Below are 27,368 nucleotides of genomic sequence, written 5' to 3'. Positions count from 1 at the left end.
AGTTAAGTCTTGGCTCAATTAGATTCAGGTTACTTTGGCAAGAACACTCTACATATGATGTTGTGTATTTTTCAATGCATCACATCACAAATAACACGTTAGGCTGTCCATCAATGATGCTGTTTGATCACTGGGTTAACATGGTGATCACCAAATCTCTGCTGTAAAGGTACACTTCCCCTTTGAATTAGGATGTATAAATATCCTGTTGGGTTTTTTTGTTTGTTTGTTTGTTTGTTTTTTTGAGACAGAGTCTTGCTCTGTCGCCCAGGCTGGAGTGCAGTGGCGCGATCTTGGCTCACTGCAAGCTCCACCTCCCGGGTTCACGCCATTCTCCTGCCTCAGCCTCCTGAGTAGCTGGGACTACAGGCGCCCGCCACCACGCCCGGCTAATTTTTTGTATTTTTAGTAGAGACGGGGTTTCACCGTGTTAGCCAGGATGGTCTTGATCTCCTGACCTTGTGATCTGCCCGCCTTGGCCTCCCAAAGTGTTGGGATTACAGGCGTGAGCCACCACACCCGGCCATTTTTTTTTGAGACAGAGTCTTGCTCTTTTGCCCAGGCTGGAGTGCAGCAGCGATCTTGGCTCACTGCAACCTCCGCCTCCCAGGTTCAAGCAATTATCTGCCTCAGCCTCCCTAGTAGCTGTGATTACAGGCAACCGCCATCACACCCGGCTAATTTTTGTATTTTTAGTAGAGACAGGGTTTCACCATGTTGGCCAGGCTGGTCTTGAACTCCTGACCTCGTGATCTACCCGCCTCAGCCTCCCAAAGTGTTGGGATTACAGGTATGAGCCACTACGCCCAGCCAAATATCCTACTTCTTAGCAACTTTTACCCCAATAGTTTTAGCACCCACTGATAATCTTTGTCTGAAATAATTATTACATTGGGGTTGGAAATGGTGATTTCCAAAGTCCAGCATTCCTTCTGCATTTTTTAGCTCACAATATTCCATAAACAGCAGATGAACATTCTTTTCTTCTCTCCCCTTTTTGTTTAACAATATGGATGCATAGATTTCTGTTGTTAAATCATTACCTTCATTCTTCTCTTTTTTTGAGACAAGGTCTTGCTCTGTTGCCCAGGCTGCAGTGCAGTGGCATGAGCATAACTCACTGCAGCCTCAAGCTCCTGGGCTCAAGCAACCCTCCCACCTCAGCTCCTGAGTAGCTGGGACTACAGGTATGCATCACCCCTAGCTAATTTTTGTATTTTTTGTAGTGACAAGGTCTTGCAACGTTGCCCAGATGGGTTTCAAACTCCTGGCCTTAAGCAATCCTTCCACTTCACCCTCCCAAAATGCTGGGATTACAGGGGTTCGGCACTACATCCAGTCCCAGTATTCCTTTTAATTGTTAAATTGTCCCAAATTTGGCCCATGGAAACTCCTTCAAGCTGGCTCCTAAGATCTTTTGATATGAACTCATCAGTCTTTGAATACTTCCTATAGGCATCTCTTGTTTTTAAGACTTGTTTATATAATATTTATTTGCTGAAATTCCTGCAACATCTGCTTATTGGTTTTAGTTCTACTTTTTGCAGCAATAGAACATTTTACTTCTTCCATGTGGAATGTTCTGTTACTTAAATGCAGATATTATATTTGGGTTGGAGCAATTCTACAATACGACTTCACTAACATCACACAGGTACATAAATCATTAATTTAGCTCTACCGATATGCTCACTTTATTCCTAACTCTCACACTTTAGGATGTCCAATACACTTATTACCTGATTCAATTTCCAAAAGCTGCTAAGAAGTTAAACATTCATTTTCAAGCTTCCAAATGTTCCCATGTCAAAATGGTTGCATCAAAGGGGCCAGGTCAGAATTTCCTACATATATTCTGGGGTAGATTCATGCAGTGGGTCACAGCAAGTCCTTGCTACCACTACAGTAACCACAGAAGTATTATCAAATACTGCATTAATACTTACCAGCTGAGTTACACCCAGCATTACTTATTATCCTAACATTCCTCTAACATTTGCATACAGATTTTTGCAGTTTATTATAATATTTTTATACATAAAGAGCACATAAAATGCAGATGTGCCCTCTCTCTAGGGAATACCCAATCAACACTGCGTATTACTATACATATTTGCTCAGGCCAGTCAAGGAAAGCCTGATGAGCCTTGAGCAAACAATGGCCCCACTCTGAACAGATAAAGAGTACTCTGTCCTCTAGAATCAATACACCTTCAAATACAGGTAGGCAGACAGTAACCCTTCAAGTGGGCACACATACTCAAGTTCCTCTCTTTGAAGACCTATATCCAGTATCTGAAATTTATTGGTGGCATTTACCCACTAGGGAAAACAATTCTAATTATACATGGAAGTTAATCAATCATATTAAATACATAAAATAGTATACCACTTTATATTTCTTATTTCTTTTCCAGTATGATTAAAGCACACTGAAGGTAGAAAGAATCTTCATCAAGTGCTTTGCAACTCTGAGCAGGGAGCATGAAATATTTATCACTACACTATAAAGGTACAACAATAATACAACAATTAAAATGATAATAAGATACATAATAAAATGTGACTTTCAGTACTAAGAACAGAGGATAGGGAAAAAAAAAGAATGCCTAATTTCTAGTTAGTTGTCTAGGGCTCCTTGAGTGATGTGAAATTTTGACATTTCAGAACAATAATAGAAAAAAAACAAAGAACAAATGAGAAAGAGAAGGCAATGTAAAACAAATGTTAAAGGCAAAAGTAAATCAAATCAGCATGTAAAGAAAATATCCACAAAAGTATACCAATCATCCAGAAGGTACCTTTGTTCAGAAGAGGAAGGAAGTCAGGTGCTTTTTCCCGAAAAACCCTTTGAGCATCCTCAGCTTTCATGGACACTTCCTTTGTCTGAACTAGGAAAAAGCCTTTACCAACCATCTGTGAAAATAAAATTTCATTGAGATTTTAAAATGAACTTCTGAGACTAAAACAATGATTTCCTATTCTAGTATTTCTCTGTATAAAATGCAACAACAGCACACTGATTTTTGTTTTAATTATAAGTCTAATTCAGGGTGTTTGCTATAATAAGTTCTCACTATATGAGATTCTTTCTTACAGATGGGTGGTTCTGGTTTAGTACTGCAGTTAAGGTTAAGGGTCAAATAAATGTGAATTATCTCTCAAGTTTAAAACATGATTAAAATTTTTCTACAACCAGATGGAAGTTTTAGTTTGGTGATACTGCAAATGTCCAATAAGAAGAGAATGGTTAAGTAAATTATGGTACAGTCACATGATGAAATGCCACAGTTCATTACATTTATCACAGTTCATTAAATACAACAAAGATGTTATAATAAAATGAGGAAAAGCTTATGTAATAATGTTAATTTTACTTTTATTTGTTTATTTTTCTTTCTTTTTTTTTTTTTTTGAGATAGGGTGTCACTCTGTTGCCCTGGCTGGAATGTAGTGGTGCAATCATAGCTCACTGCAGCCTCAAACGCCTGGGTTCAAACGATTCTCCCACCTCAGCCTCCCAGGCAGCTAGCTGGGACTACAAGCTCGTGCCACCATGCCTGGCTAATTTTTAAAATTTTTTTTGTAGAAACAGGTTCTTGCCATGTTGCCAGGCTGATCTTGAACTCCTGGGCTCAAGCCATCCTCCTGCCTCAGCCACCCAAGATGCTGGAATTATAAGCATGAGCCACTGTACCTGGCCAATAATGTTAATTTTAAAAGGCATGATACAAATTTATATAGTATAGCACAATAATGGTAGATCACACTTATGGAGCACTTACCATGTGGCAGGCAGTTTTATGTACTTTACATATATATATTTAACCCTCTCACGAAGTAGGTATCATTACCCTCATTGTACAGATATGAAAACTAAGGCGCACAGTGATTAAGGAACTTGCCCAAGGACATTCAACAATTAAGTGACAGAGCTGTGATTCAAACCTAGTTAATCTAATTACAGACTAAATAAATTTAAAAATGATTCCTAAAAAGATTATTCAAGGTATGGTACAATTATGTATTGATTTTAAACTTATTTTACTCTTTCTTATTTCTATAATTCTCCACAATGAGGGCATATTAATTTTTAAAGTAATTATGAAAGTAGTTTTTAAAAATGCAGTCAGCCCAGCATCATGGCTCACACATGCATCCCAAGCACTCTGAGAGGCCAAGGTGGGAGGACTGCTTGAGACCAGGAGTTTGAGACCAGCCTGGGCAACACAGCAAGACCCCATCTTTATAAAAAAAAATTTAAAATTAGCCAGGTGTGGTGGTGTGTGCCTGTAGTCCTAGCTACTCAGGAGGCTGAGGTGGGAGGATCCCTTAAGCCCAGGAGTTAGAGGCTACACTGAGCTATGATCTCACCACTGCACTCCAGCCTGGACAATAGAGCAAAACCTTGTCTTTAAAAAAAAAAAAATGTAGTCATATTCCAACCACTTAATTTTTAGCAAAGCTTGTTAGGTTTTTAATAATTAAAAGTAACATATATTCTCAACACAGAACATTTGAAAAATAAAAAATAGAAATGAAGAAATATCAACCAGGGTGCTGCAACTAAAAGATGCTACTGCCATACAGGTATACCCTCCCAGTTTTCTTTTTCTCCCATTACAGAAATAATATATGCTCACTGTTAAATCCATAGAACTACAAAAAAAGAAAACCCTGCTGTTAATCAACTGCCTAAGAATAAGCATGCCTGTTAACATTTAAGTATCTATAACTTTCCAGACTTACCTACTTAAAAAAATCAGTTACTTACCTAATATTCTACAAATTTTCACTTACTTAATTGTGACATTTTCTACATAAAGTCAGTTTTAATGGCTGATAGTATTTCATCCTATGGCTACATTATTCCATACCATTCCATCGAATTTTATTAAACTCAAATCCTATTTCAGAACCCTCATTCAATGCTGCCTCCAAAAAAAGAAACATACATTTAAAAATTGTAGAGAATTACATGGACATCACTGCCAGATGACTGTAAAATAAAAATATCAGAAACAATTCTACCTCTCTTATTTTCTAGAGTGCTTATCATCTCTGATTTTATAAACACAAACTGATGAGATTATGATGATTACTTCAAAATAATGTTACCTAAATAATAAACTATATTTTAATATTTCACTGCAGATATTTGAAGAGACTCCTTTTCATGAAAATTCTACTTTTAAAGACTTGAAAATAGTGGTAACTACCCAACTTCAATTTCAGATGATGAAGTACTCTCAAACTATTTTACTCTATTTTATCCTGTACATATCTGTGATGTAGGTAAGAGAAGTCGAGGAAAGAAAAACAATTTTTATTGTTTGTTTGTTTTTGAGACGGAGTCTTGCCCTCTCGCCCAGGCTGGAGTGCAGTGGTGGGATCTCAGCTCACTGCAACCTCCGCCTCGTGGGTTCAGGCAATTCCCTGCCACAGCCTCCCGAGTAGCTGGGATTACAAGCACCCACCACCACGCCTGGCTAATTTTTGTATTTTTAGTACAGACGGGGTTTCACCATCTTGGCCAGGCTGGTCTTGAACTCCTGACCTCGTGATCCACCCGCCTCGGCCTCCCAAAGTGCTGGGATTACAGGCGTGAGCCACTGCGCCCGGCTGGAATCTGATTTTTAGGTGAGAAAACCAAAGTCTAGTAACTTCTCTTGGCTCCCTATGGAATGTCTTTTTGCTTTACCCAGCCTTTTTGGACTTCCTAACCTCTCTCAAATTGTATACTTCCTATTGCGAAAAAAAAAAAATCATTATTTAATGCATTAAAACAATGTGAAACAAAATTCTGTAATCCTCCTGGGGTTTAACAAATATAGAGTTAGCAATCATAGTTTCAGTCTAAGCTGTCCTAAGACATTTGTGTTATGACATGAGAAAGACTCAAGTTTTATTTTTTTCATCTCAAGATTCACTAGCTTCTATACATATTTCCCTGCGAACTCATCTCATTTTTTAAAAAATGTAATCTCTCAATATAATATATAAGTCTTTTGTCTTTCAGCATGTTTTGATACCCTCTTCACATGTACTTGGTATTTTATTTTTTATTTTTGTTTGTTCTCTTCATTCCTTAATTCTGTACTTTCAGAATAAGATAGGATAACTATAGCCAAATAGTCCCTAGACTGGAAGGCCCTAGAGTCCACATGCTTTCAGTCACATTCCTGCTCCACCAGGCATTCAGCAACTTTCCTTTACCACTGAGGGAGCATAACAGCATCATGTTTAAGGGTTAAGGTGTGGCCTACACAGCCAGACTGCCTGGATTGGAATCATGGCTCTGCTTTTTCCAGCTGAATGACCTTTTGCAAGGTACTTACCCTCTTTATGGTCTATTTTTCATATCTGTAAAATGGGGAATAATAGCACCTATTTCATAGAGTTGTTTTGAGTATTGAGTTAATTCATTTAAATTCCTTACAATAGTGCCTGGCATATAGTAAACACTATGTAAGTGTTAGTTATTATTATCGCTGTGGGATTGTTTATATTGTATTCCAGAGGATATCTAAAGAATATCATTCTTCCTGGTCATATTCTTTTCAAGGGCACACAACACTGCCATTTCACATACCAGATACCAAAGGTTAAAAGGTTAAGAACATTTGGTGATTCATGAAGAAACACTGTTTTGATGGCTTTTTCTTTAAACATGCTAAATATTCTTTATGTCCACTCCTCATTACCTATGAAAAAGGAGTTTAACCTAAATAATTACATATTTTGAAAACTGTTTGTAGTTTTTTTTTAAATCACCATACTGCATAATGAAAGCATTTACCTCTCAGATGTTGGATTAACATGTGATCAGATAGCTCAAAAGCCAGAAGCACATTTTTCTGTATCTTACCAGATTCATGGAATGTTTTTATCACATAGGCATAAGCAAAAGAGAAAATATAAAAGTCTTAAAATTAAACTTTGGCTTCTGTTGGTTTAAAAACTATACCTCAGATATACTTTGTGGATTTCAGACATTTCTACATGGGTTTTCTACATTGTGGAATATATAGCTATTGAGAGGTATTCATTTTTAGTATTTTCCTAAAATCATTCCTTTTGATATGTTCCAACTTAAAAAAAAAAAATCCATTCAAAAAGAGACTTGATGAGTTTTCCGGCCGAGCGTGGTGGCTCTCGCCTATAATCCCAGCACTTTGGGAGGCCGAGGCGGGTGGACTGCTTGAGGTCAGGAGTTCGAGACCAGCCTAACCAACATGGCAAAACCCTGTCTCTACTAAAAATACAAAAATTAGCGGGCATGGTGGCAGGCATCTGTAATCCCAGCTACTCGGGAGGCTGAGGCAGGAGAATCGCTTAAACCCGGGAGGCAGAGGTTGCAGTGAGCTGAGATCGCGCCACTGCACTCCAGCCTGGGAGACAAAGTGAGACTCCGTCTCAAAAAAATAAAAAGAGACTTGATGAGTTTTCCATTCACTTCTCTATGTCTTTAAGTTTGGTTTTTAAATTCAAACAGATTCCTCCTGAAGGAACCTGATTAATGGATAATCAATACATCCTACTGCTGCCTTCCCACTGGAGCACCCACCAACTAAGGAACTGCTGCTTCTGGAGCCCCTAACCTCTGTATCTCCAATTATTTTTCAAGCAGAAGCTGCTACCCCAAAAAGCCTTCTCTATTCATGAGCTCACCAAGACCCACTGTTCATGAGCCTATGAGCTTTGCCAACCTAGCTTCCATCTCACTCTTCTGCATCAAGCTCCCTTCTATGGCAATAAAGGAAAATAAGGAACGTAATGTGGAGGTTGCTCTCACAGTCACAACAGGGTCCAAAAGTTGTATTCCTAAATGTACTTTTGGCTGGGTGCAGTGGCTCATGCCTGTAATCCCAGCACTTTGGGAGGCTTAGGCAGGTGGATCATGAGGTCAAAAGATCGAGACCATCCTGGCCAACGTGGTGAAACCCCGTCTCTACTAACAATACAAAAAAAATTAGCTGGGTGTGGTGGCGCCCACCTATAGTTCCAGCTACTTGGGAGGCTGAGGCAGGAGAATTGCTTGAACCCAGGAGGCAGAAGTTGCGGTGAGCCGAGATCGCACCACTGCACTCCGGCTGGGTGACAGAGCAAGACCCCGTCACAAAAAAAAAAAATTGCATTTTCTTACCCCCTAACCAATTAGAACTCTAAAGAAATTTCCCCACTAAATAATTATAAAATGTCATGCTTTACTAAGCAGTACTACTTTTGTGAGCTTCTCTGGAAATCATCTAGTATAATGGAAACTCTTTAAGGGCAGAGAATTTTGTCTATGTATCTTCATCTCCAGCATACACTATAGTTCATCATTTCTGAGTTGCTATCAATTATAAGATGCATTCCAGATAAGCAAAATCATGGAAAACAAATAGGCATCCTATCATCAGTGAAATATGATAACAGTAACTAGCACATAATAGGTGCTTAATGCTTACTGATTTGAATTATATTTTTTTAAAGTTTCTTTGGGAAAGTATTTTGAGGCCCAAGCAATCTACTTACAAACAAATGCTTAATGCTTACTGAATTGAATTATATTTTTTAAAAGTTTCTTTGAGAAAGTATTTTGAGGCCCAAGCAATCTACTTACAGATGAGTCTGTTGGGAGAGGGGGTGGTGGCAAAGGACTATAACTTGAGGGTTGCCTGTATTTCCAATAGCCAATTTGAAAAGAATGGAAGTACTCCAGAGTGGTACATTTTTAAATCTAGGTGTATGACTATTTCTCTTCTCTTTCTCCTTACCTCATCAATTAGTTTTCTGGCATTTGCAATAGTGTAATCACCAGCAAATAATACCACTAAGCATGATTCATCGCTGCTCTTCTGTCTCTGACCCCGGGATATTGGAACAATGCTTCTATTGGCTTCTGTGGAAACACGAACAGCTTTGAGCTCTTCGGTAGTAGGTATAGGAACATAGTCCTGAACCACAGCATCTTCTGGAAGAAGGCTCCAGTTGAGTTCTCCTGACACAGGTGTAAAGTCATGAATGTTACTCCATGTATTGTTGAAGATACTTAGCCCTGCATCTTTGAACTGGAAAGCTAATTCAGGATAGTACCATTGAAAACATCCAAATTTGATATTTGAGGAAGACTCAATGATGGGTTGAGTGGCACAACACAAAAAGACTTCCAGCTTTCTACAATCTCGCACACGAAATTGTTGGCAGGCTAATGTGCACTTGCAATCTCTGCAATTCCGGAAAAACACGCTGCCTTTCACGGGTCCCAGAAAAATTATGCAGTTAGTACAGTCATCAATGGTAACTGTAGCAGAGTGATCAAAAATATAGATGTTACAGTTCTCACAGTCTTGAATGAGAAACTGTTGTCCTGCTACCGTCCCAGGTAAGCGACCTACTGTTTCATCCTTCAGTCCACTGAACATGTAGTCTTTTGGATCAACCTGCAGGAACAAAACACAGACCTTGAGTATTATTAACATTATTCAACAAGTATCAACTAAAGGACTATTGGCTGCCAGGCACAGTTCTTAGTGCTGAAATATAAATTCTTAATCTCAATGACTTTGAAACACAGTAACAAAATGAACAGGACAAATTGTTTCTCTCAATAATAATATAAAACCTATGATCTTAGTCAACATACACACCTCCCAGAAGACAGATCCCCTCTCTTTGCTATTAAATTGTGTTCTGGGCATGCAAAGCTAAAGGGTAGCCTCTGTGACACTATGGTTTGAGTTTTCCCATGACTTAACCCAAGTGACACCTACATCATCATTGCTACTGTCAATATTGTCAGTAGGCTTTTAGCCTATTTGGAATTTATAAAAGTAAAAAATGTACTAAGCTTTGTAGAGTACCAGGGTCAAAAATATATTTTTAAATGATTGTTTTAATAAAAGCGCTATGAAAAATTCAACTCATATCCTATGTATCTAATGATCTTAACCATGACCTTGCTATTTCAGCTTTCTGATACTTTTTCTTTTTTGATGCTTCATTTTTAAAACTTCTAATTTCTAAAAAAATCTGAGGCTGGGTGCAGTGGCTCTTGCTTTTAATCCCAGCACTTTGGGAGGCCGAGGTGGGAGGATCAGATGAGACCAGGAGTTCGAGACCAGCCTGGCCAACATGGCGAAACCCCGTCTCTATTAAAAATACAAAAATTACCCAGGCGTGGTGGCGCATGTCTGTAATCCCAGCTACTCGGGAGGCTGAGGCACAAGAATAGCTTGAGCCTCGGAGGTGGAGGTTGCAGTGAGCCGAGATCGCACCACTGCACTCCAGCCTGGGGGACACAGTGAGACTCTGTCCCAAAAATAATAATAATAATAAAATAAAATTCTGAAATTGGGAATGTACCCAGACTGAAATATATTTCTCTATCCTTTTTCAAATCAATGTATGGTCTCAGTTTCTAAACCCCAACTGATTTCTGCAATATGCTACAGAAAACAGAAGAACCTGAAGGCACAAGAATCACAATATGTAAATGCAAGCAAATTTGATTCAAGCATTTATTAAGCTACAACGCAATTTTTCAAATTTGGCCATTTCTATTCTTAGATCTTCCAAACTATAGCTCGCTCCTTCCTTCACTCCTTCTTTCGCTCCTTTCTTCCTTCGCTACTTCCTTCCTTCCTTCCTCCCTCCCTCCCTTCCTCTCTTCCTTCCCTTCCTTCCCTCCCTCCTTTCTCTCTCTCTCTTTCGAGACGGAGTCTCGCTCTGTCGCCCAGGCTGGAATGCAATGGCGCAATCTCAGCTCACTGCAAGCTCCACCTCCTGGGTTCAGGCCATTCTCCGCCTCAGCCTCCCAAGTAGCTGGGACCACAGGTGCCTGCCACCACACCCGGCTAATTTTGTTTTTGTATTTTTTTTTCTGAGATGGAGTCTCGCCCTGTTGCCCAGGCTGGAGTGCAGTGGCATGAACTCGGCTCTCTCCTGTCTCAGCCTCCCGAGTTGCTGGGACTACAGGCACCCGCCACCATGCCTGGCTAATTTTTTGTATTTTTTAGTAGAGATGGGGTTTCACTGTGTTACCCAGGATGGTCTTGATCTCCTGACCTCGTGATCTGCCCGCCTCAGCCTCCCAAAATGCTGGGATTACAGGCGTGAGCCACCACGCCTGGCCCCTGTTTTTGTATTTTTAGTACAGATGGGGTTTCACCATGTTAGCCAGGATGGTCTCGATCTCCTGGCTTTGTGATCCACCTGCCTCGGCCTCCCAAAGTGCTGGGATTACAGGCGTGAGCCACCGTGCCCGGCCTTTTTCTTTTTTTGAGATGGAGTTTCACTCTTGTCACCCAGGCTGGAGTGCAATGGCGCAATCTTGGCTCACTGCAACCTCCACCTCCCGGGTTCAAGTGATTCTCCTGCCTCAGCCTCCTGAGTAGCTGGGATTACAGGCGTGTGCAACCATGCCCAGCTAATGTTGTATTTTTAGTAGAGATGGGGTTTCACCATGTTAGCCGGGCTGGTCTTAAACTCCTGACCTTGGATGATCTGCCTGCCTTGGCCTCCCAAAGTGCTGGGATTACAGGTGTGAGCCACCGAGCCCGGCCCACATAATCTTTTAAACAGTATGCCTGGAAAATGTCACATTAATTTTTTTTATTTTACCTGACCTATCAAAATATGGTCACTAAAAGCCTATTTTTGTTTCTTCCATGTGACTTTCTTATCTACTTCAACTGTTTTAACTGTTTGTGACTATATAAACTTCATGCAAAACCATTCATGCACCATAGGCTCCCATATATACAATATGTAAAAATTTGATTTACAAAGCAAAATTTAATCATCTTAATGATTAGCAAATGAGCTTAAATTGACTTAGTAATTGCACAATAGATATTGTACTTAGCCAGTTTTACATGCTGTACTAGGAGGAACACTGGTCTGCAGTATGAGGCAATAAAAGAAGTACTCATTTTCCAGTCCCAATTTTGTCCCCTATAAGCAACCGGATCTTGAAAAAATCCCCTTAACTTTCTGGATGTTCAGTCACTCTACCAATATTTGAATACCCAGTATGAGCCAGACATTGTTTTAGGCACTAAAATGAATAGGACCAGCTCTTTCCATAAAAGTAAACATTCATCTAAACTAAAAACAACTTGACCATGTAATGAGAGATGCTGAGAATATTTTGGAGGGGACAGAGAAGGGACATCTGGGGCGGGGAAGAGAAGTGGGGCGGAAGTTCTGCAAAACATGAGAATGGATAAGCTAGAGCTCATTAGGTAAAAGGGGTAGGAATAAAGGACCCTCCCTTCCCATGCCAGGCAAAAGTAACAGACGGAACAAAGTAAAATTCTTCAGGGAGTAGGAGGAAAACTGAAAGTAGTTTGGTGTTACACATGCTATCAGAATGCTAGTAGATGAAGCTACAGAGGTAGGCAGAAACCGTATTATATAAAGCTTAGAAGTTATCCACAGACAAGAGGGAACCACAGAAAGATTTAAATAAGCAAAATTTACATGTCAGGATAATTACTCTGATGAGATAAGGACACATGCAACATGGATTGATCGGAGAGACTATTGTAGTCATACAGAAAGGGCTGGAACCAGAGCTGTAATTAGTAGGGAAGAAGAAGATGGGATGAATTTGAGAAATACTGAGGAAACAGAATCAGCAGACTGGTAATTCAATGGCTGTAGGAGGTAAGGCAGAAGGATGAATCACAGAGGAAAGGCCATGTGAGGACACAGCAAGAAGGCAGCTGTCTGTAAGCCAGGAAGAGAGCCCTCACCAGACACTGAATCTGCTAGCACCTTGATCTTGGACTTCCCAGGCTCTAGAGCTGTGAGAAATAAACTTCTGTTATTTAAGCCACCAGTCTGTGGTATTTTGTTATGGCAGCCTGTTTTAGTCTGCTCAGACTGCAAAAGCCAACCTCTTGCTATGTCATCACCAGACCTGTCCTCTGTGTGAAGGAGAGGGAGGGAGCAAGTGCAAGCTAACTGAATCTTCTTATAAGGACACTAATCCTATCAGATCAGCACTCTACCTTTATGACCTCACTTAACCTTAATTACTTCCTTAGAGGTCCCATCTCCAAATACAGCCATGTGTAGGGGGGTAGGGCTTCAACATATGAATTTGACAAACATTCAGTCCATAACAGCTGCCAATGCTGAGGAGTTAAATGTAATTTACTACCCTAAGTATTTTCTCTGGACGCTCCACTTTTCCTAGCTCATAGGGAGAAATTAATCTGATAGCTAAAGATTTTATAGCTAAATAGTTCTGTAGTATAAAATTAGTTGGATTGTCAGCACGGCCTTCCAAGGAGAAATTTAAGATTTATGTTGCTGTACTTTCTCAACAATTCCTGAAAGTTTTTCAAAACAAAAAGCATTAGGAGCTAGACACAGTGGCTCACATCTGTAATCCCAGCTACTTGAGAGTGGGCCAGTGGCCTAGTGAGACTAGGAGTTTGAGACTGGCCTGGGTGACACAGTGACACTCCCCTAGCTCTAAAAAAGTTTTTTAAAACTTAGCAGATTATTTGAAGTGAGTTGGTGGAAGGGGGGTAAAAAAACACAAAAACCCTTAGCTGGGCATGGTGGTGTGCGCCTGTAGTCCTAGCTACTCAGAAGGCTGAGGCAGGAGGACTGCTTGTGCCTGGGAGTTCAAGGCTGCAGTGAGCCATGATCATGCCACTGCACTCCAGCCTGGGTGACAAAGCAAGACCCTGACACTTTAAAAAAAAAAAAGTAATAATAAACAACTGAAACTGAAATCCTTCGTAATTTTGCAGGTTACTAGTTCTGAAATAAAGTGTCTAGAATCACAAACATGGAAAGGTCATGTTTTAAATTATTTTTTCCTAAGAGCCACTTATGAAGTGAGTTTAGTTTAGACTGTATTTTTTTTTTCTGACACAGGGTCTCACTCTGTTGCCCAGGTTGGAGTGCAGTGGCACACTCACAGCTCACTGCAGCCTCGACCTCCACCGTTCAAGCAATCCTCCCCGCCTCAGTCTCCTGAGTAGCTGGGACTACAAGTGCACACCACCATGCACAACTAATTTTTGTATTTTCTGTAGAGATGGGGTTTCGCCATGTTGTCCAGGCTGGTCTCGAACTCCTGGACTCAAGCGATCCACCCACCTCAGCCTCCCAAAGTGCTGGAATTACAGGCATGCGCCACCGTGTCTGGCCTAGACTATTTCTTACTACAATCCTTAAAAGGTAATGGATATACTTTAAAAAATCAAGGAAAGTGGCCAGGCGTGGTGGCTCACGCCTGTAATCCCAGCACATTGGGAGGCCGAGGCGGGTGGATCACCTGAGGTCAGGAGTTCCAGACCAGCCTGGCCAACATGGTGAAACCCCGTCTCTACTAAAAATACAAAACTTAGCTGGGCATGGTGGTGGGCGCCTGTAATTCCAGCTACTTGGGAGGCTGAGGCAGGAGAATCGCTTGAACCCAGGAGGCAGAGTTGCAGTGAGCCGAGATCGCACCACTGCACTGCAGCGTGGAAGACAAGAGCCAAATTCTGTCTCAAAAAAAAAAAAAAAAATCAAAGAAAAATTTCAAGAGTTGTAATTCGTCTGATATCAATTTAATGTCCTACAGCTATTAAACCAAGTTAAGCATTATTTTCCTAACAGAAAACAAAAATGAACATCTTATTATCTTACTAAGCGGCAATACAAATTTTTCATTAAAATTCATCTCCACAGTTAAATTTCCATAATGATAATGTGAGATAAAATAATGGGATTTGTTAATTCCAATGAAAATCCAGTCTGAATAGAAGTAAAAAGATTCAGGAGTATAAGAAGCACTATATATGTACCAGGCACCATACTAAGTGCTCTATAATCATTCACTCAATCCATAAAAACCCCATAAGGGTTGTGTACTATAATTATCTCTGTTTTATACTTGAGAAAATTGAGGCACACAGAGACTATATAACTTGTCCAAGGACACACTGTGAGTCCATATATATATATATATATATATATATATGTATATACACATATATGAGTCCATATATATGTATATACGCATATATATGCGTGTATATATATACACACACATATATACACATATATACACACATATATACACATATACACATATATGTGTGTATATATATACACACACACATGTGTGTATGTACACACACACATGTGTGTATATACACACACACATATGTGTGTATATACACACACACATATATGTGTGTATATATACACACACACATATATATAGTGTGATCGATATAGATATATATATGTAAAGAGAGATATGCCTGTTTATGAACTCTCTATTCCATTGATTTGTGCATCTAGTAAGCAATTGTTTTGTATATGTATGTATATATATACACACATATATATGGTGTATGTGTATATACATACATACATACATACATATACATATAGTGCAGTGAACCGAGATCGCGCCACTGTACTCCAACCTGGCGACACAGCAAGACTCCGTCTCAGAAAAAGAAAAAAAATTCCTAGATGTGAAACCAAAAACACAATCCACAAAAGAAAAAGTGAGTGGAAATTGGACTTTTACTCAAATTGAAAATGTTTGCTCTTCAAAAGACACTCTTAAGAGAAGGCAAGTTATTAACTGGGAAAAAAGTATTTGCAAAACATATATATAACAGGGGACTTGTATCCAGGACATATAAAGAGCTCTGAAAAACTCAATAATAAGAAAACAAATAACCCAATAAAAAAATGGGCAAATGATTTGAATAAACATTTTACCAAAGATATATGGATGGCAAATAAGTACATGAAAAATGCTCAACATTTAGGTAAATACAAGTCATTTGGGAAATGCAAGTTAAACTACAATGAAACATCACTACACACCTATTAGAATGGCTAAACATTTTTTTTTAAAGCTAGGCGAGGTGCAGTAGCTCACAGCTGTAATGCCAGCACTTTGGGAGGCCAAGGTGGGACGATCGCTTGAAGCCAGGAGTTTCAGACCAGCCTGAGCAACACAGCCAGACCTTGTCTCTACAAAAAATAAAAATATTAGCCGAGTGTGGTGGCAGACACATGTAGTGTAGTCCTAGCTACTTGGGAGGCTGAAGTGGGAAGATTGCTGGAGCCCAGGCAGTCCAGGCTGCAGTGAGCCATGATCATGCCACTGTACTCCAACCTGGGAGACTGAGCAGACCCTGTCTCTTAAAAACAAATTAACCTGACAATACCAAGCAAGTGATGTGAGGATGCAGAGCAACTGTATCTCTCATATACTGCTGGTAGGCAAAATGGCATAGCCACTTTGAAAAATAGTTTGGCAGTTTCTTTTTTAAATTTTTAATTAATTTTTTTTTTATAGAGACAGGGTCTTGCTCTGTTGCCCACACTGGAGTGCAGTGGTGCAATCAGAGCTCACTGCAGCTTCAAACTCCTGGGCTCAAGCAATCCTCCTGTCTCAGCCTCCCAAGTAGCTGGGACTACAGGCATATGCCACTCTGCCTGGCTATGTTTATCCATTTTGTAGAGGTGGGGTCTCACTATGTTGCCCAAGCGGGTCTTGAACTCCTGGCCTCAAGCGATCCTTCTGCCTTCACCTCCCAAAGTGCTGTGATTACAGGTGTGAGCCACTGACCTGGCAGTTTTTTGTAAAGTTTAATAAACAATTTCCATATGATCAGCAATCCCACTCATGAGTATTTACCCAAGTGAAATGAAAACTTATGTTCACTCAAAAACCTGTACACAAATATTTATGGTAGCTTTATTCATAATTACCAAAATTGGAAACAACCCAAATGTCCTTTAACTGATGAATGGATAAACAAACTGTGATATATCCATACAACGGAATACCACTCAGCAATTAAAAAGGAACTCCCGGCTGGGTGTGGTGGTTCATGCCTGTAATTCCAGCACTTTGGGAGGCCAAGGTGGGCGGATCACCTGAGCTCAGGAGTGCAAGACCAGCCTGGGCAACGTGTTGAAACCCCATCTCTACCAAAAAGATACAAAAAATTAGCTGAGTATGGTGGCACTCGCCTGTTGTCTCCACTACTTGGGAGGCTGAGATGGGAGATCACTTGAGCCCCGGAGGCTGAGGCTGCAGTGCGCCAAGATTGTGCCACTGCATTCCAGCCTGGGTGACACAGTGAGACCCCATCTCAAAAAAAAAAACTCTTGATACATGCAACAACATGGATAAATCTTAAATGCATTATGGTTAAGTGAAAGAAGCCAGACTCAAAAGGTTACGTATTGTATGATTCCATGTATATGACATTCTCAAAAAGACAAAACTATAGGGATAGAAAACTTATCAGGAGCTGGGAGTGGGGCTGACTACAAAGGAGCAAACTGACTATACAAAGGAAGAACTTTTGGGGGCGATGGAACCATTTTATATCTTGATTGGTGATAGCTCCACAACTGTATTTATTTGTCAAAACTCATAGAACCGTACACTTAACAAGGGTAAATTTTACTGTATATAAATTACACTTCAATTAAAACAAATACTTAAAGTTTAAACATTGTTAAGTCAGCTTCAGGGCTAGATAGCTATGTAGCTGAGAGGTTATTTCACAAATGAAAACATTAGTGCCACATAATTATAGAACTAATAGTGCTGAAATATAAATTCTTAATCTCAATGACTTTGAAACATAATAAGAAAATGAACAGGACAAATAGTTTCTCTCAATAATAATATAAAACTTATGATCTTAGTCAATATACACACCTCCCAGAAGACAGATCCACTATCTTTGCTATTAAATTGTGTTCTGGGCATGCAAAGCTAAAGGGTAGCCTCTGTGACACTATGGTTTGAGTTTTCCTGTGACTTAACCCAAGTGACACCTACATCATCATTGCTACTGTCAATACTGTCAGTAGGCTTTTAGCCTATTTGGAATTTATACAAGTAAAAAATGTACTAAGCTTTTATGAACAGACACTTCTCAAAAGAAGACATTTATGCAAGCCAACAGACACATGAAAAAATATTCATCATCCCTGGCCATCAGAGAAATGCAAATCAAAACCACAGTGAGATAACCATCTCACACCAGTTAGAATGGCGATCATTAAAAAGTCAGGAAACAACAGGTGCTGGAGAGGAGGTGGAGAAATAGGAACACTTTTACACTGTTGGTGAGACTGTAAACTAGTTCAACCATTGTGGAAGACGGTGTGGCGATTCCTCAAGGATCTAGAACTAGAAATACCATTTGACCCAGCCATCCCATTACTGGGTATATACCCAAAGGATTATAAATCATGCTGCTATAAAGACACATGCACATGTATGTTTATTGCGGCACTATTCACAATAGGAAAGACTTGGAACCAACCCAAATGTCCATCAATGATAGACTGGATTAAGAAAATGTGGCACATAAACACCATGGAATACTATGCAGCCATAAAAAAGAATGAGTTCATGTCCTTTGTAGGGACATGGATGAAGCTGGAAACCATAATTCTCAGCAAACTATAGCAAGGACAAAAAACCAAACACTGCATGTTCTCACTCATAGGTGGGAATTGAACAATGAGAACACTTGGACACAGGAAGGGGAACATCACACACCGGGGCCTGTCGTGGGGTTGGGGGAGGGGGGAGGGATAGCATTAGGAGATATACCTAATGTAAATGACAAGTTAATGGGTACAGCACACCAACATGGCACATGCATACATATGTAACAAACCTGCACGTTGTGCATATGTACCCTACAACTTAAAGTATAATAAAAAAATTTTTTTAAATAAAAAAAATGTACTAAGCTTTGTAGAGTACCAGGGTCAAAAATATATTTTTTAAATGATTGTTTTAATAAAAGGGGCTATGAAAAATTCAACTCATATCCTATGTATCTAATGATCTTAACCACGACCTTGCTATTTCAGCTTTCTGATACCTTTTCTTTTTTGATGCTTCATTCTTAAAACTTCTATAAAAATTTCTGAGGCTGGGTGCAGTGGCTCTTGCTTTTAATCCCAGCACTTTGGGAGGCCGAGGTGGGAGGATCAGATGAGACCAGGAGTTCGAGACCAGCCTGGCCAATATGGCAAAACCCTGTCTCTATTAAAAATACAAAAATTACCCTGTATCTTGAGCTTATATAGTATAAGCTCAAGACCAGTATCTTGAGCTTATATACTATTGATGATTCGAGAAACTGAAGTACTACATTTATATTAGCTTACCATTTTGTGAAATATATAACAACAAAATAGAATTATGAAATTTTAGGATTGAAAAGATTCCCCATATCATCTAATCTAATCTGAATCTATTTTTACATCCTATCACATTCCCTTTGTTCATCCAGATTTGCCTGAATGTTTCTAGCAATGCTTACCTCCCCTCATGGGCTGCTCAAAGAATTCAAGAACTGGAAGGGATCTTAGGAAACTGAGGGCTAAAAGCTAAATTAGTTTACCAGTGAGGTGTAGTTAGGTGCAGAATACAAATTAAAATTCCAGCCCCATATACTTTTCACTCTCTATGCTTTTTACCTTTATCAAAATTTTATATGGGTGAAGAAACAACACTCACACATTGCTGGTGGAAATATAAATGGTGCAGGCACTCTAAAAAACTGTTTAGCAGTTCCTCAAAAAGTTAAACATAGGCCAGTCGCGGTGGCTCACGCCTGTAATCCCAGCACTTTGGGAGGCCAAGGTGGGCAGATCACGCAGTCAGGAGATCGAGACCATCCTGGCTAACATGGTGAAACCCCGTCTCTACTAAAAATACAAAAAATTAGCCGGGCGTGGCGGCGGGCGCCTGTAATCTCAGCTGCTGGGGAGGCCGAGACAGGAGAATGGCGTGAACCCGGGAGGCGGAGCTTGCAGTGAGCTGAGATCACACCACTGCACTCCAGCCTGGGCGACAGAGTGAGACTACGTCTCAAAAAAAAAAAAAAAAAAAAGTTAAACATAGAGTTACCATATGACCCAGCAATTCCAAACCTAGATGTGTACACAACAGAAATGAAAACATGTCCAGACAAAAACTTGTATACAAATGTTCATAGCACCATTATCCATAATAGACAAAAAGTAGAAACAACCCAAATGTCCATCAGCTGATGAATAGATAAATAAAATGTGGTATATCCATACAATAGAATAAAGTCTTGATACATGTTACGATATGGACAAACTTCAAAAACATGCTAAGTGAAAGATGCCAGTCACAAAAGGCTAAATATTGTGGCTCCAATGAAGTGAAATGTCCAAAATAGGAACACTTATAGAGACAGAAAATAAGTTTGTGGTTTCCAGGGGCTCGGAGAGACGAGAATGGGGAATGACTACTAATGGGTACAGGGTTTCTTTTTCCAGGGATGAAAATGTTCTAAAATTAGACCATGGTGATAAGCCTGTGAACTTACTAAAAAATACTGAATTATATACTTTATTTTTAAACTAAATTTATTTTAAATTTTTATGGATATATAATAATAGTAGTATGCATTTATGGGGTACATGTGATATTTTCATACAAGCATACAACAATGTAATGATCAAATATGGGTAACTGGGATATCCATTACCTCAAACACTTATCATGTCTTTGTGTTGGGAACATTCCACATTTTCTCTTCTAGCTATTTTGAAATATACAATAAATTATTATCAACAATAGTTGGCTGTGGTGGGTAGTGGGGAGGAGAGGATGAAGAGTGGTTGGTTAATGAGTACAAAAACACAGTTAGACGGCTAGGCACTGTGGCTCATGCCTGTAATCCCAGCACTTTGAGAGGTCGAGGCAGGCAGATTGCCTGCGGCCAGGAGTTTCGAGACCAGCCTGGCCAACATGGTGAAACCTCATCTCTACTAAAAAATACAAAAACTAGCTGGGTGTGGTGGCACGCGCCTATAATCCCAGCTACTTGGGAGGCTGAGGTGAGAGAATCGCTTGAATCCAGGAGGCGGAGCAGTGAGCGGAGATCATACCACTGCATTCCAGCCTGGGCAACAGAGTGAGACTCCATCTCAAAAATATATATACAGTTAGATAGAATGAATTATATACTTTAAATGGGTGAATTGTATGGCATATGAATTATATCTCTAAAAAGCTATTTTTAAAATTAATAAACAAAGAACTAGTTATATCCTTTAAACAACTTTATATAGAGGATTTAAAACCTACTGGCAAATTCTTTGACACTCCTCCCATTGAGAGGTCACCTCCTCTTGGAACTGGGTGGGCATTTGTGACTGCCTCAGCATTACTCCTGCCACATCCAAATTAAGTCTAATTAAGTGACTTAAGAATTCACTTAATAAGCTAGTTAGAAAAAAACCATGCAGCTTCTGCCAGTCTCTCTTAGGATGCTTGCCCTTGGAACCCTGCCATCACACTGTAAGGAAGCCAGGAATACATGGAGAGGCCCCAGCTGAGCTCCCAGCCCAAAGCCAGCATCAACTTGCCAGCCAGCTATGTGGTCAAGCCATCTTGAAAGCTGTCACGGTTGATGCCACATTGAGCAGAGTCAACCCTGCTTAACCTTATGCAAATTAAAGAGTTATGAACAAAATATCTGCCATTATTTTAAACCATTAAGTTTTAGGGTGGTTTGGTACACAGCAATGGGTAACTAGAATACTTTTCATACTTAAAAGAAGGCTAAAAACAGTATCTAGCCTCCTCCTACTTAGTGCAGACACTTCTTTCTAGCAGATTACCACCCTAACTGTCTGACAATTTTGACTAACATGGAGATCAGGTCCTCAACGAAGCCACCCCTTCCACTGATGACCAATCCTGGGAATTATGATCTGCCTTATGTTAAAACCAGTTCTGTCATGCCCAACCTCTGGTTTAAGTTCTTTCCTCAGAGGTGACCATTACTGTCTAAACCTCTTCTTCAGGACAGGCCTTTACCTTACTAAACAGTAGAGAAATCTTTAGCATTGTCCTACTATATAGCTGAGGAACCTGAAGTGCACAAATTGGCTGCTTTACCCAAAGTTACACAATAGATACTCGAATTTCTGGTATAAGATTTTTGTTTAGTATTATTTCTATTGAATATGAGACAAATATAACAGACACATGTGTTGTCCTTACTCAAATCACAATTTTCACACTTAAGCCATAATTGTTTAGAGTTAATCCTCATTTCTATTATCTAGGAGGAAAAGTATGGGCATGAATACTGGAAGATGAAAACTACTTTTCCGTATCACTCTTCCTCACCTCATATGTACTTAAATGTTTCCTGTTTTAACTCCAGAAAGCCAGTAAACTCTTTTAGGGCAGGGATAAGTCTTATAATTTTGAGACTTACTTGGTGTTTGAGTACATACATACTGAATAATTTGCCTACCTATGGGTGGCAGCATACAGATAAGGATAAAAACATTTCTTTTGAAATAATTTAAACACAAGTCTTACAATCCAAAAATATTTCTCATCACATCAGTGTAAGAATTGTAATCTTTTTTCTTTTTCAAAGTCAGTAGCAATAGAAAATGAGCTTCTTACACTGTTGACTACAGTATGTCAGTTGCTATGACAATGCTTAGTCCCCAGACATTCCTTCTAAATGAGACAATTTCTCCCAGCTTCAGTCCCCTAAGACTGACCCAATTACACAACTCAAACCCCAAAACCCAAGGGGTGCCCTTCAATAAAGATACTCTGGGCTGGGAGCGGTGGCTCACGCCTGTAATCCCAGCACTTTGGGAGGCTGAGGCAGGTGGATCACCTGAGGTCAGGAGTTCAGGACTAGCCTGGCCAACAAGGTGAAACCCTGTCTCTACTAAAAATATACAAAAATTAGCCAGGCGTGGTGGTGCACGCCTGTAATTCCAGCTACTCAGGAGGCTGAGGCTGGAGAATCGCTTGAACCCAGGAGGCAGAGGTTGCAGTGAGCCGAGATCGCGCCACTGCATTCCAGCCTGGGCGATGACAGAGCCAGACTCCATCTCAAAAAGAAAACATCAAAAAAAGATACTCTGATTACACAACCTAAGGAAAAATGTAAACACCCTTTTCTAAGCTGCAAGGAAATTTTTCAGGCAACCCATTTTGTTTTTACATGTAAAAGTCTTACAAGTTGAATGGTAATTGTCTGATATAACTTTAAAACTGTATATGCTATAATCCATAACCACATTCCAGAAGCCTAAACTTTTAATATAAATCATTTCTATTAATATGCATGCATCATATCTCATTTATGTTCTCTGGGCTGTATTTGCAATCTGTTCCTTTTAAGGTACAACTGAAATCTTCTAGGAGCAAGCAAGGCCATGCTCAGTAAACGTATCATTGGACTAATACAGAACATTTGCACACTAGCCCAAATTAACCTCACGGGAGGCAAGGAACTAGGAAAAAATATTTTATTTATTTATTTTTTTTTTTTGGAAACAGGGTCTCACTCTGTTGCCCAAGCTGGAGGGCAGTGGCCCGATCATGACTCATTGCAGCCTCTAAGTCCCAGGCTCAGGTGATCCTCCCACCTCAGCCTACTGAGTAGCTGGGACTACAGGTGTGCACCACCATGCCCCACTAATTTTTGTATTTTTAGTAGGAATGAGGTTTCGCCATATTGCCCAGGCTGGTCTGGAACTCCTGGGCTCAAGAGAGCCACCAGCCTTGGCCTCCCAAAGTCCTGGGATTACAGGCATGAGTCACCATGCCTGGCCCTAGAAAAAAATATTTTAAATTGTATAAAATTTAACAAGCTATCAAAATGAGGCAACTTAGAAAGAATTCCTAGTAATTCCAAAAGAAAAAAAAACTAAAAAGAAAAAGCTATGTTGGGAAATGTGGTATCTGCATTGTCTCAAAATGTAAGCTGGTAATTCTCTTCAACAGTCCAAAATATTTTAAAACTGGGGTTTTTTTCAGAATGCTCATTTGGTTAGAAATTCTCATTTTGATTGGCTGAGTTGATCAAGATTTTAACTTTTATTATACACACACTCAGAAGCATGAGCTTATTTTATATATCCAATAACATCTCTTACAACTCTACAACTACAGAACTTAGTAGTGTTCTCAAAAAAAAAGGTTCTCTGTAAGCTCAAAACAGTTTCTACAATTGAAAGTTTATTACACACTCATTTGTGGGGAAAAAGCTTAGATGTTGGTGTCCAATGTTATATTTCTCAATGCATTTACTTAGCCAATGGGCAAAAGAAGAAAAAAAATCACAGGACACACACACTTATCTAAAAGAAGGATTAACATGAGAAGTCCTAACTAACCTGAATATTATGTTAATAAACATTAACTGTAAAACAATTTATTGTGAAACGATGAGTCATAGGCAGCCAAGACTACTATAAATAAAAAAGGCATTTTATTTAGTTTAGATTTAGCCTGAGTTCAAAAGAAAAAACTAAAATAAAAATGAAATATGCAACTTTCTCTAAGGCAGACAATTCAAGCTAAAAGAACATTGTTAGAAAGCCAAAGGCTGAGGAAAACAATATCTTTTAAAAACCGCCCATCAGATAACTTTAAATGGCAGGTGCAATCTTCTTGTGAAATAGAAAGCATAGTACTTTCTTCCCCTACATTATAAAATGCTACTATCGAGTATGACTAACAGAGAATAAAGGTACCATGTGACCCAAGAAGGGTGTGTATGAGAAGTAGGGGCAGAAAGACGGGGCTGAGAAAAGCTGCAAAAAGCTTTCAATTTCCTAACTCTGACTCTTAGAGACCAGAGCTTACCTGAATACATTCTGCTGGGGATTGGAAATCATGCAGAAAGGTCTGTGATTCCAAAACGTTAATACATTTATTATAAAGTAATCTTGGGTAAAGATATGTTGCCTTAAGCAAAGAGTTAACTGTTCATAATACCCATTTGAAAAATCTCTCATTTTGTTTGGGAGAAATAATTGATAAGTCCATCAAAGTAGTTTAGTAAGCACAAATGGAGAACTATGTAGAAAGAGGAACTATTATGAAATGTATGACCGAGTGTGTTTTGTGTAAGACTAATGGAGGTTTTCAAAGGTTTTTCGTTTCTGGCTATATACAAAAATAAAAATAAGGGCGTTTTCATTCATTTAAACCAGCAGTAAAATACTGCCTGGTTTATGCCGCTTATTTTCACCTTACAGTCTTAATACACATTCCAAGACTGATGCGATATTCATTATTTCTTTCGGATAACTGGAAGAGGAGGGGGAGTAAAGCTGTACATTAAACAGTCCACTTGGTAATTGAGAAAATTCAGCAGTGAAATATATCATGAGGCACCAAAGAGATTTGCCGGGGAGGGCAGACAAAAGAGAAAACAGCCACAGAACATTAAGCCCCGGAAGAGATGAGAATCGGTCCCATATACGTAACTCGACGACTGGACAAAACCCCGCTTGACGCTGCCGGTGGGTGAAACGAGGTGATTTGAGATTCAGGGCGTTCTCGGCTCTTTCCCTCTCTCGAATCGATCATCTCCAACAGGAAGTCAGAGCAAGGCAGGGTTCGGAGTCAGAGAAAGCTCCCGGGGGAGTCTGTCTACCACGACAACAAACTCCTAAGGCTCCTTCCGGAGCTCCACAGCCCTCTGGGCGGCCTCTCTAGCGCTGTACTTCACGTCCCCGCTCCCCAAAAAAGTCGTGCACCCCGACTTCAGCTATCCGCGTTCAAGAGAGTGCGGCAGCAGTTGGGTCGGCCCCCTCAGCGGTCCCGGGCCGTAAGGGACCTGGCGGAGCGGCTCAGGGAGGCTGAGACGGCGGCTACACGACTTTCATTACCTTCTCGCGCTGATCCCAGCTGTACTGCTTTGGCCGCTCCTCCTCGTTCTCGGGCCGCGACTCCTTGTCAGCCTTCCGTCTCTTGGAGAAGAAGCAGCCCATGGTCCCAGCCCGCGGAGCTCGTTGGCCAGCTCACTAGCTCAGGCACTTCCTAGAGTGTGGCGTGAACCCTGGGAACCCCGGCCTCGCAGCTCTCCGGACAACGCCCCGCGGAACCGCCCAACGGTCCGCAGCCTTAGTTTGCCCGCCAGGCCCAGCACCCCTTCCCCTTTTTCGTCGCCCTGACGACCCAGCGCAGCCAATGAACGCTCAGCGCCTGTTGAGCCAATCAAAGCCTCTCGAGCAATCCTGCGCGGCCTATGAAGAGAGGCCGACATACCCACATACCAATCCACGCCTGGCTCCTGCGACAGCCCCTGGCGGCGGGGCGGGCCGGCTCTGGCGCAAGCACGGACAACCCCGCCCACAGCTGTGGCACGGACCGCCCTCGGCCCCGCCCCTCCTGGAACTTGGTGGGTTCTCTAGCTGGTGGGAGGCCAGGCTCGGTATCCGGGTTTTTTTTGCCCCTGATTCATAAATTTGCAAGTTCAAGGCGCGGGAGAGATCTCTAGTTGAACATTAGATTTATCTTATGATGAAAGTTGTGAGGGACAGAAATTCCCGCTGACACAAGAAGACCCTGAAATTTGTATTTCTAAATCCTCTTCTCCCCTCATCACCCTTCCTACCGCCCTCTCATCGCCTGGCCAGGGTCACCCCCTCAAGAATTGTACCCCATAACCTCCCAATCCTCTTCTGTGCTCTTTCTTTCTTTCTTTCTTTCTTTCTTTCTTTCTTTCTTTCTTTCTTTCTTTCTTTCTTTCTTTTTCTTTCACAGGGTCTCGCTATGTCACTCAGGCTGCAGTGGCACAATCATAACTCACTGCAACCTTGCAACTTTGCAACCTTGACTTCCTGGGCTCAAGCGATCCTCCTGCCTCAGCCTCCTTCCTGAGTAGCTGGAACTACAAGCAAGCACCACCATGCCCACCTATTTTTTTTTTTTTTTACTTTTGTAGAAATGGGGTCTTGCTATGTCGCCCAGGCTGGTCTTGAACTCCTGGGCCCAAGCGATCATCCTGCCTCAGCCTCTCAAGGTGCTGGGATTACAGGCAGGACCCACCGCACCCCAGGCTGCTTCTGTGTTTTCTTAAGACTTTCACATATGGCTCTAAAATTGCACAAGTACTTAGTAAAATAGTTAATTGTGTATTGTTTCCCTATTTGAACTGTGACTTTCTTGAGATCAAAAAGGTATATCTTTTTTTTTTTTTTTTTTTTTTGATGGAGTTTTTGCTCTTGTCGCCCAGGCTGGAGTGCAGCAGTGCCATCTCGGCTCACTGCAACCTCCGCCTCCCGGGTTCAAGTGATTATCCTGCCTCAGCCTCCAGAGTAGCTGGGACTGCAGGCGCCTGCCACTACGCCCGGCTAATTTTTGTATTTTTAGTAGAGACGGGGTTTCACCATGTTGGGCAGGCTGGTCTCGATCTCCTGACCTCAGGTGATCTGCCCGCCTCGGCCTCCCAAAGTGCTGGGATGACAGGCATGAGCCACCGCGCCTGGCCTAAAAGGTATGTCATAAAGGGCATGCAGGGCCGGGCGCGGTGGCTCACGGCTGTCATCCCAGC

General features: G+C 40.7%; 1 protein-coding gene across 1 annotated transcript in view, besides 2 other annotated features; it reads right to left on the bottom strand.

Moving 5' to 3' along the window:
- The window catches only part of RP2 (RP2 activator of ARL3 GTPase), a 45,316-nt gene extending 19,455 nt beyond the window's left edge, over positions 1-25,861 (bottom strand). Inside the window, exons 1-3 of the mRNA NM_006915.3 lie at positions 25,702-25,861; positions 8,763-9,428; positions 2,802-2,916 (exon numbers count right to left, since the gene is read on the bottom strand). Of these exons, the coding sequence (NP_008846.2) occupies positions 2,802-2,916; positions 8,763-9,428; positions 25,702-25,803 (883 nt within the window). The 5' untranslated portion in view covers positions 25,804-25,861. The remainder of the gene's footprint in view (positions 1-2,801; positions 2,917-8,762; positions 9,429-25,701) is intronic.
- Positions 25,730-25,869: an enhancer, noted in NCBI's record as "active region_29577". NCBI's record gives its function as "activates an Ori minimal core promoter by ATAC-STARR-seq in GM12878 lymphoblastoid cells {active_cell/tissue: GM12878}" and the evidence as "EXISTENCE:reporter gene assay evidence [ECO:0000049][PMID:35858748]".
- Positions 26,180-26,259: a silencer, noted in NCBI's record as "silent region_20795". NCBI's record gives its function as "represses an Ori minimal core promoter by ATAC-STARR-seq in GM12878 lymphoblastoid cells {active_cell/tissue: GM12878}" and the evidence as "EXISTENCE:reporter gene assay evidence [ECO:0000049][PMID:35858748]".

The sequence above is a fragment of the Homo sapiens genome, chromosome X (assembly GCF_000001405.40).
Source record: "Homo sapiens chromosome X, GRCh38.p14 Primary Assembly".
Taxonomy (NCBI): Eukaryota; Metazoa; Chordata; class Mammalia; order Primates; family Hominidae; genus Homo; species Homo sapiens.
Note: the sequence above shows the minus strand (reverse complement) of the source record. Positions and strands in the feature narration are given on the sequence as shown.